General features: G+C 37.9%; 1 long non-coding RNA gene across 1 annotated transcript; it reads right to left on the bottom strand.

Moving 5' to 3' along the window:
* Positions 1-820: 820 nt before the first annotated feature.
* Positions 821-9,275, bottom strand: LOC105370599 (uncharacterized). The gene is made up of 3 exons (XR_944087.4): positions 8,895-9,275; positions 4,659-4,724; positions 821-947 (listed from the first exon to the last, which is right to left on the bottom strand). It is a non-coding gene; the product is annotated as an uncharacterized LOC105370599 (long non-coding RNA).
* Positions 9,276-10,869: the final 1,594 nt, after the last annotated feature.

Genomic DNA, 10,869 nt, shown 5'->3' with positions numbered 1-10,869 from the left:
ATGCTGTATTTGGAACTGAACCCAGTCTGTCTTCACTACTGCAAAATTCATTTGTGGTGGTCCTTATGTCTATCATAGGGGTCCTGAATTAAGTCTGCCTTGCCATGCTTTAGCAAATATCATTGAATATTTTTTTCTCATAAGTAACTCATCACCATATTTTGTTCTAAATATTGTTGTTTTGACATCTATAGCTGTTCTGTTGGTTTTTATGTGGCAGCTCTTAAGTGACTGAAGAAACAGTTCTGGGACTGTTGTCATTGTCAAGGCTAAGGGACAACTTCTCATTTGCTCACTGAAAGTTCACTGAAAATCACTGACAAAGAGGCAGATTAACAGGAGAAAGCATATGTAAATGTGTGATCATAGTTTTATGTGACATGGGAGCCTTCAGAATGAATACTCCAAAATATAGGGAAAATTGTCCATTTTTACACTTAGGCCTAACAAACTATTGACAACAATATAGAAATACAACTGAACAAAAAGGGTATGATCTAATGCCAATAGACTGAGTGGGGAAATCCAGCAAGGCCCATTTGTATAGATGCTTTTTTAGCATCTCTGAGCCTGCATTTGTTCCTTCTGGGTATGGGACAGGATCCTCTCTGGAATGGGGGCTTATGACTCCCATTCAAACAAGGTAGGTCAGATAACTTCTTTATGGCCAGTTGTTTACACAGAAAGGTGAGGGGAAAATTAGAGTAACATTTTTAGTTTTCATGGCTGGCTTTGGGGAAAAGGAACTCAGTTTCTATGGCTAGCCTTGGAGGAGAATTGAACTGAGAGACGAGTGCAGGAAAAGATCAGAGAAAAACTATTGCTTCTGAGGCTTTTATTTTGGGGTGTTGTTTTCTGAGTCCTAACATCATCTTCCCAGAATCTTTGCCTTCCTTTCATTCTTTGTCTCTTGTCATTCATTCTTCTCAGAACAGCCAGTGTGATGTCTTAACAAATAAATAAAATAAGGTTTATGTTATTTTCTTGCTTAGCTTTTCCAGTAGTTTCTTCGCACTTTAGACCAAAATAAATAAATGAGCATATTTTTCAAAAACCCAATCATCATTCCATAAGCTATAAAACCATCCTTGATCTAGCCCTTATCTACTTTTCAAACCTCACTTATTTTACTTCTTTCTGTTTAAACATGCTAAGTTTGCTCCTGGCTCGGAAACTATGCAGTTATTTCTTTGGGCAAATGTTTTCCTGCTTTGAGAGAGGAAAAAAAAATTCTCTACCATCTTAGGTTTTGAAATTGTAGTCATGGATTAAATCGACAGAAGACAAATTAAGAGAAAAGTCATACACATTTAATTGCTTTTATTTTACACACATGGGGACTACACAGAAAGAAAGACAAAACCCAAAGAAGCAGTTGGACTGGGAGCTTATATACCATTCTAACAAAGGGATATAAATTGTGAACAAGTGACTAGACAAAGAAGGATGGGAACTGGACATCCAGGGATGGTAAACTGTGGGCAGATGACCAGGAAATATATGATAGAAAAAAGTTGCTTAATAAAGCTTATTATGCAGACTCACTTTGGTGTCATATCCTGTGATAAGAGTCCTCTTCAGTGATTAAGAATATCCTTCTCACAGCACTGGAGAGGGGAATACCTTTGCAAATGGAAATTTGTCACCTTTACAAAGGTAAATGTACGCTCTTTTAGACAGAAAGTGAGAGGGCAGAGCATTTTGTGCCCACTCTTTCTCAATTGCCCTTCACACAAAATAATCCTTATGCCAAAGTAGCATATTTTGGGGTGGCATATTCTGCTCCCCTTCAACTACCCCAGCATTTGCAGGTCTGACTCCTTTTTATTCAAAACTCATTTTAAATGTTGTCTCCTGATCCTCTGAAGGAGCATCCCGTGCCCCCCTCTTCATCATAGTAGACTCTGTTACTCTTTTTACAGTAATTTTCACTATCAGTAATTGTCTTACTTGTATTAAGTTGGTGCAAAAGTAACTGTGGGTTTTGCCATTGTTTCAAAGGAAAAACCACAATTACTTTTGCACTAACCTAATATTTTGGTTTCATTCTTTATTGTCTAGCTGCTCTGTGCAAGCAAGGAAATTGTGTGCATGATTTATAACCTCAACTTCAACGCCTAGAAAAATATATGGCACATAATAGGGGCTCAAAAATATCATTTAATTAATAACAAATATTGCTATAACAACACTGATTGCTTAATTATCCTGATCTCTCATTGAAATGCTTAGGGCCAAACACTGCTCTTCTTGCATTATAATAAAAAGTAATTCCTATTCTCATCCCTAGTCCTCCTTTTAGTTTTTTAAATCAACTTTTCTTAGACTATCACAAGGCTATAACAAAGAACAAAAGGAAGGCCAAAAGACACAATCTATGATGACTTTAGCTCCATAGGGGTAAAAATAAAAATGGGCTGTCTTCAGAATTGCTGAACAGATGTCAAACCCATTTGCTACTTCACAAATCATTGTAAAGGATAATTAGATTCCATTGCTCCTCCAACAAGGTGACACAAAGAAAGATGATACTAGTTTCCAAAGAGGGGGCTTTTTCATAACCAAATAACTGAGAATTGCTACTTGAGAGGTCACTATCAGATTAAGGATCATAATATCAAGGCTGAGTCTAGAAGATAATTTGGGACATCTCCATGGCCTGGCCAGAACAAAAAGGAATAGTGGGAAAAAGAAAATATGTATATATATAAATAAAACTATCTGCATCTGCTGAGTATTTTTTATCATACATATAAAGAAAATAAAAGCAGCTCTCCACTTTCTTACAAAACATGTACCTGAAAATGTACCTGAAAGTGGAATATCTGAAAGGCTAAATAGAAACGTAATTTTATAAGAAAATAGATGATGGAAATGGAGGCTTTTTTGCGAGATTGCCTAGCAGTGTGACAAAATACTTATTTACTCCTTTTAATGGTCCTTTCTAGCTCCTTGTTTTCTAGCAACTCCCAGCATAGAGAGAAGAAACTTTGCAAAGGCCAGGGGCCACACCCAGGTAAACATCTACATGCTCCCAAAGAGATAGTCATTCTGACAGCTGAGAGCATCCATCCAACCACAAACAGCTGCTACTTCAATGAAGACTTAACTTATGCAATTGTGAAATATCTCATAATCATCATTACTCTGCTAATGTATATATATATACACACACATATGTTATTATGTGAAAGGAATTTTAATTGTGAAAACGAATAAAGGGAAAAACATAAACCATGCAAAAGTTGAACACTTACAGTAAAACAAGTTAGTAAATCAGTAAACTGTAATAATTGTTCGTGTAAATAAAAAACATGTTGCACATATATATCAAAGAAGAATACAATGTTATTTCTGGAAAAAATATGATATCACCAGTGGGTCCTGCAAACTAAGCATGAGCCCTACCATGTTTTTTCTGTTAACTTTGGGAAGCCAGTTTCCTAGAAGCATTAATCACATGCTTTATTATGTTCAAGAAGTCACCATTTATAGAATAAATGCAACTATACCTGTTTCCTCATCTGGAAGCAATGTCTACAGCCATTTTAGCTTTTAGTTGTGGGTAGGAGGGTTCTAGCATCTAGTGGGTATTGGCCAGGGATACTGCTACATTGTATAGGACAGTACCACAACAAAGAATTTTCTTTTCCAAAAGGCTGAGCCCAAGTTAACAAACTTTGCTCGACACTTAAGAGAGATAGATGATAACAGATTGATTGATAGATTATATTCTTCTGTTAAATAATGAAAACAAAAACTCTCTTTAAAGCCTCAAACAGAATGCCAAGTAATATATTATTAGAATATTAACACTGTCAATTTGAAAAAAAAAGACCCAGAAATGCACAACTTGGCATTATTTTACTCTGGGGAAGTTCTCCACATTCATATGCCAAAAGCAATTACCATATTCCTGATTGCTAATTAGACTGGCACAGGTTTCAACTTATCTACAGATGGCAACTTAAATAATAGCTAATTTTTAAGCTACGTTTTGAATTTTGTAGGTTTCAATTTAAATATTTAAAGCTATGAGATCATCTGTTAATGTATTCACTATAACAATGAGCACAATTCTGTCATATACCAGGCTTGGACATATGGAAGAACAAGACTGGTTTCCCAAGCCACATGAAAAAATCATTCACATTTCTGGAAAGCCTACCCTACACTGAGACTCACATTGAGTTGAGAGAAGTATGCATCTGAGAAATATTTCACTCACCCACCCCCCAGAGAACCCCTGCCACATACGTGTTCCAGTAATAAGAACAAGAACCCCAGACTAGAAGTCAGATATCTTTCATTTTGGCCTTCTACTTTTTATTAGTTGGGTGATAATGATCAGTCCCAGAGTCACTGATGCCTCAGTTTATCCATCTGTAGAATGAATGGTTTAAAACCGTTTTGTACCTTTATTCACCAGGGCCCCCTCTGAGAATGTTATCAAAGCTTGTACTCGCCTCCCCCAAAATGAACATATTCATTGCATACATTTTCAAGATATTTCTTAAAGCCTGTTTATGAACTCACTAGGAATCAACTGATCACTAGTTAACAGCCTCAGTATTAGACTAGGTTCTTATGCTGTTAGCAATTTTGAAAAAAGTTTTAGCTAGAAAATATAGAGAAGTAGAAAGAAAGAGCCTTCTTACCTGTGGGCATCCTGGCTATGGATCATTGTTCTACACAAAGCCACATGGGAGTGTCAGCAAAGGATACTGTAAAAAGAATGGAGATAGGCTATCTCTACTTCAAATTTCAAAGAGCAATTAACAAAAACAACCTTTACAATTCTACTGTTTAAAACCTTTCTCATTAGAATTGAAAGCTTGTCCCTAGTCTCAGAATAAAGCATTTGGGAACTTTAGGGATTTGTATGTGATTTTTTAAAATACTACATTGGAAAGAATACAAAATGAAATAGATATCATAGATGAATATCTTCTAATTGTTTTAACAGGGTACATATACCTTTATTAGAGTAACAAGGGAAAAGTTACACCGGGCAGTTTTGTGTTATAATTATGAAAGAGTTACTCTTGAGTAATATAAGAAAGAGATAACAAAAAGATCTGATTCAATAAGAATTATTCTGATGTTAAGAATACAAAGCAGACTTCTCATGTGGCCGCAGTTGCAACAGAAAGTCAACTCAACAGGCTTCAATTTCTATGATTTCATTTCTCTCTACAGTCTGAGCTAAAAAAAAAAAAAAAAAGAAAGAAAAAAGAAAAGAAAAGCCTATTTCACAGACAATGTAGAGACAGGTAGAAACTTCCTTGATGTATCAAATTTTTAAACTTAAGCACAGGTGCGATCGCCAGGTGCATGCTCCAGGTGCACATACATCTTTGTTAATATCCACAGAATGTCAAGCCTTTCTTTCAGTCTGATTGGGCAAATTTAGAACACATGTTTTCTCTTCACTATGAATGGTTTATGGGTTCAGACTAATCATCTATAGCATATAGATATTGGGAGATCATTCACAATGTGTACTGAAAAACTGTTAGCCACATATGTGCAGAGGCTATGATTTGGTTATTATTAAATTAAAAGCAACTTAACAAAATTCTGTGCCAGTTCTGCTCCAAATACACTGCTTGCTTTTTTCTTCAGAATAATAAACAACATATTAACAATTAAAGGAATGGTGTGACAGTCATTCCTAAAACCTGCTTTCAATAATCTTAATAATCACTATGTTCTCCATGCATCTCATTAGCAAAATAGACTTCAGTTAAGAATCCCAAAACTTGGTGCATTACAAAGGAAGAAGTGTTTAATCCATGGATTAGCAAAATTTTTTGTAAAGGACCAGAGAGTGAATGTTTCACTTCACAGGCCACATCGTCTCTGTTTTATATTCATTTTATTTAAAATCAACTCATTAATAATGTAAAAAAACTTCTTAGGTCATAGGCTGTACTAAAACAGGTCTAAGGCTAAATGTGATTGATGGGCTATTGTTTATCTATCTGGTAGGAAACACAAGATTAAGTTCAATTGAAAGACTGAATGCAGCAAAGTATGATGTAACATTCATTTCATATTCCTCAGCTGATGAATCTGAAGTAGGGTGATCAACCATCTAGGCTTGTCCAGGACTGGGGTTTTTCCAGAATGTTGGCTTCTAGTAATAAATCCAAGAAAGTCCCTGACCGATCTGGATGATTGGTCATTGATATGGTTTGGCTGTTTACCCACCAAAATCTCATCTTGAATTGTAATCTCCATAATCTCCACGTGTTGTGGGAGGGAGTTGGTGGGAGGTAATTGAATCATGGGGGCAGTTTCCCCCATGCTGTTCTTGTGATAGTGAGCGAGTCTCAGGGGATCTGATGGTTTCCTAAGCATCTGGCATTTCCCCTGCTGGAACTCATTCTCTCTACTGCTGCCCTGTGAAGAGGTGACTTCCTCCATGACTGTAAGTTTCCTGAGGCCTTCTCAGCCATGAAGAATGTGAGTCAATTAAGCCTCTTTTCTTTATAAATTACCCAGTCTAGGTATCTCTTCATAGCAATGTGGGAACAGACTAATACAGTCATCCTAATAAATTATGCAAATGAGGGAAGTGAAATTCTTAAACAAGGAGGCCAAAAGAAAGCAGTCACTTCATGGCTTGACCATCTAACTGAAAAGTAGGAAGAAGACTGAGATGGGTGGGGTTAGAAGGCTAGTGAATTGAATCCTTATAACCAAATAAAGGTGAAATTAAACTCAACCGCTTGTTAACAACTCCCTAGTTGTTAACTTTTAACAACTCCCTGGTTGTTAAAAATCATTCATTTTTCTATGTTTAGCAAAACCTGGGAAAATAAGGGGTACAGAAGTCATACAAAGTAGTGAGAGTCAAAAGAAACCAAACAGGCCATGTTAAGACTGGAAAACAACAACACAAACATTTACTCAGAAGAGCAGCTTGAAATTTCCATTTAAACTAGTCAACAAACAAGAAAGGTTGTGCAATCCCATCAACACTATCCCCAGGTGCTGCTTATTCCATTTTGCTCTACAGTCTCTTTTGTTATTTTTTTTCTTCCTATTGAATGTCACTGGCAAGAAGTCAAAGAGTCCATTCCAGGTTTCGGTTGCTGAAGCAGTGAAGCAGATGGTGTCAGAAACCAATACAGGAGGGAAATACAGATCACACACAGCTTAGTTTATTTGAGACTTACAAAAGATCTCATTAGGTCTAAAGTGGTTAGAGCAGGGTGATAGAGAAGGAGTTGTTAGAAACCCCATGTCTTATTCTGAGGAGACCATTTCAAGACTTAGTTATGATAATTTCTTTTTTTTTTTTTCTTTTTGAGATGGAGTTTTGCTCTTGTCACCCAGGCTGGAGTGCAATGGCCTGATCTCAGCTCACTGCAACCTCTGCCGCCTGGGTTCAAGCAATTCTTCCTCACCCTCCTGAGTAGCTGGAATTACTTACAGGCATGCATCACCACACTTGGCTAAGTTTTGTACTATTAGTAGAGACAGGGTTTCACCATGTTGGCTAGGCTGGTCTTGAACTCCTGACCTCAGGTGATCCGCTCACCCCAGTCTCCCAAAGTGCTTGGATTGTAGGCATGAGCCACCACGTCTGGCCAGTTATGATAATTTCAGTACAATACTGAAACAAGGTCAATAGATTTGAAAAGATCAATGTTCAAAGCAACACTAAGTGGCAGAACAGTAATCTCAACTTGCATGAGAGCAGCAAATGGCTTAACATAGGAGTGGTCAAGAGAGGCAGCAAGATGCATTGGAATATCCAAGTAGAGAAGAAACTACGAGGGAAAAAAGAACTTTGCATAAATCTCGAAATGGCATTTTTGTATTTCCATGTATGCAATATATTATTCATGAAGTATAAAACATCTCACATGGTCTTACTTATTTGCACAATTTCCTCAAGAGGCCTTTTGGAAAGAAATCTTGACACCCATTTCACAGACAGCAGGATTTAATTATTTCCCCAAAGTCACATCTTGAAAAAGTGCTGACATTGGGACATAATCTGTTTCCCTGAACTCCAAAACAATCCTGGGAAATATATTAATAGACCCGACGTTAAACATTGGAATTATTATAGCTAACAGAATGAGAAAGAAAAAGATGCCAGGTGTCACTTAAGATAGAACTCTAAGGGTAGGATTAAAATGTGAATGTAGCTAAGTAAAATTCCTTAAGGAATTATAGTAGAGAAGCCACCAATCCAATAGCACATTGTTTAAAAACCTCCATCCAACTAGGGCACGAGGTGCATGCTGTCCAATACACCTAATATACGAAAATGCGTGAAAACCGTTCTGAGTTGAGGAAACAGCATCAGCAGGATAGTTATGCACCTTGTAGGCTTCTGGCCTACATTTAGCATGTGTGCTGCCAACTCGGTTCCCCAGATGTCAGCAGGGAGTGCTGAGCATGAAGCAGCAGGCAGTGTCCTAGGAAATCAGCCAGAGACCAGTCCAAGAGGGTCAACCCCTCTGGAAAAACTTTAAAGGGCCTACCTTCTCTTGGGAACTCTTAAAGAAACTGGTGCCTCAGTGCAAAGCAGAAAGTGTCTTTCCTTTCCACAAATTTATTTATCTATCTAGGCTAAACTCATGGCATCAAGCAGCACAAAAAAAGCATTATTTAAGAAGTATTTAGGGAGCAACCAATCCCTAACTACTGCTAAATAGTGGTTACTCCCTAAACACTACCTTAATATGGGTTACTTAATTTAAGTTACTTAATATAACCTAAATAGTGGTCACTCTCTAAATACTCCCTAAATACTGCTTTTTTGTGTGCTGCTTGATGTCATGATAAGTATTACAAGTGCTAAAGGAAAGAAGGAGAGACCCTTCCTGATGCTTAGAGTCTAATGATATGCTGGTAAAAGCTTAACTGCCTACCTGGAGGACAAGCTGTGAATTGTACCATTTGTTGATTAGCCATCTGTAAATAATCCTACCATGACCAATTTCAACCTGTCAACGTGATGCAAAACACCTTTAAAAATTTGTGAAACTATAGTAATTATGCACTAGTAGGAGCAGTATTCAGTGCACTACTGCTTAAAATTTATGCCTAAAGAGGTAAAAATGTAGGAAAAGTAGTTCTGATTCTCATGTATGTGTAAATGCAGGCATATATGGGTACGAGAGCCTGAGTGTGTGTGGGTGGGTGGGGGTAGCATACAACTACAAACTGGATAATCAAATTGAGCAATCCCACTCTAGCCTGTGCATAGATAGTGGTGGAAAAGCGCCCTTTTTGCTCTACACTCAGGCAGATCTCCAGGCATTCAAAGCACTTGCTTATCTGGTCCAGCAGCCTGAACTGCCCCACTCTTCCTGAGCAGAGATTGTGATGCAACAGAGCCCTCTCTGCTCCATGCCCAGGCAGATCTCCAGGCATTTAAAGCACTATTCTCCTAGATTAGCAGCCTTTGCCACCCTACCCTTCCTATGCAGATTGTGGTACAGTGGGCCCTCTGTAGTTCATCCCTATGTAGATCTCCAGGCATCTGGAGCACCCACCCCACTGAATTAGGAGTTTAGGCCACCCACTTCCCCCATGCAGAGAATTTGCAGTCAAGGAAGTTTCGCAGTTCCATGCCTAGGCACACCTCTGGACAACTGATTTCCCACTGGATTCTCCCTTAGTGGCTAGGGCTTTTGCCTGCCATCAAGGGACCTATAGGTTAGTCTCCTCAGGCTGGTCCTGTATAACTTTCCCTCTGACCCTCCCACCTGTCAGGGATGAGCAGGGAGCTCAGACCACTGTGCACTCCATGGTTCAGCCCATTACCTGAGACAATAAAGAGCTTCTCCCAGTAAACAAGGATCAAAGGTATACCCGGCCACATTGGCCACAGTCAGACCTTACCCATAAGTGTTATCTACTGGCTTGTAGGTCAAACTGCATAACCCAGCAGGTAGGTCAAACCAGCTAAAACATATCCACAGGGCTACAGAAACAAAGCTGAAAGACTCTATGCAACATTCCCCACATTCACACCCCCTGGGAATGGGGAGAAAGGGGAAGGGAAAGGAAAAAAACACACACAATGGTATTACAGAGAAAAAGAAAAAAAATTCTACCCACATTAAAATAATTACAAAAGTTAGTGTTGGCACCTTCATGTAAGAAGGAACTAGCACAAGAATTCCGGCATCATGAAAAATCTGAATGTAGTGACACCGCCAAAGGACTATACTCAATCTCCAGCAATGGTCTCTAACCAAAATCAAAACTCAGAAATGACAGACAAAATAATTCAAGGCATGGAATACAAGGAAGCTCAATGAGATCCAAGATAAGGCTAAAAATCAACACAAAGAAGCTTCTCAATCAATCGAGGAAATAAAGGAAAACATAAACATTCTAGAAACATATCAATCAGAGATTCTGAAATTGAAAAACTCACATAAGAAATTTCAAAATACAGTTGAAAGTTTTATCAATAGAATGGACCAAACAGAAGAAAAACATTCAGTGCTTGAAGCCAGTCTTTCAAACTAATCCAGTCAGACAAAAATAAAGAAAAACAATTTTTCAAAATGAACAAGGTCCTTGAGAAATAAAGGATTATGTAAAGCAACCAAATTTATAAATTATTGATACTCATGAGAGGGAAGGAAAAAAAGTAAGCAACCTGGAAAACATATTCAAAGAAATAAATCAAGAAAACTTCCTTAATCTTGCTAGAGAGGTAGACATCCAGATACAGGAAACCTAGAGGACACCTATGAGATACAAAACGAACATCATCAAGGTATATAGTCACCAGATGGTTCAAGGTCAATGCCAAAGAAAAAAGTCTTAAAGGCAGCTAGAAGAAAATATCAGATTACATACAAAGGAAACCCCATCAGGCTAACAACA

This window comes from Homo sapiens, chromosome 14 (genome assembly GCF_000001405.40).
Source record: "Homo sapiens chromosome 14, GRCh38.p14 Primary Assembly".
Taxonomy (NCBI): domain Eukaryota; kingdom Metazoa; phylum Chordata; class Mammalia; order Primates; family Hominidae; genus Homo; species Homo sapiens.
The sequence above is the reverse complement of the archived record's forward strand: the minus strand, read 5'-3'. Positions and strand labels throughout refer to the sequence as shown.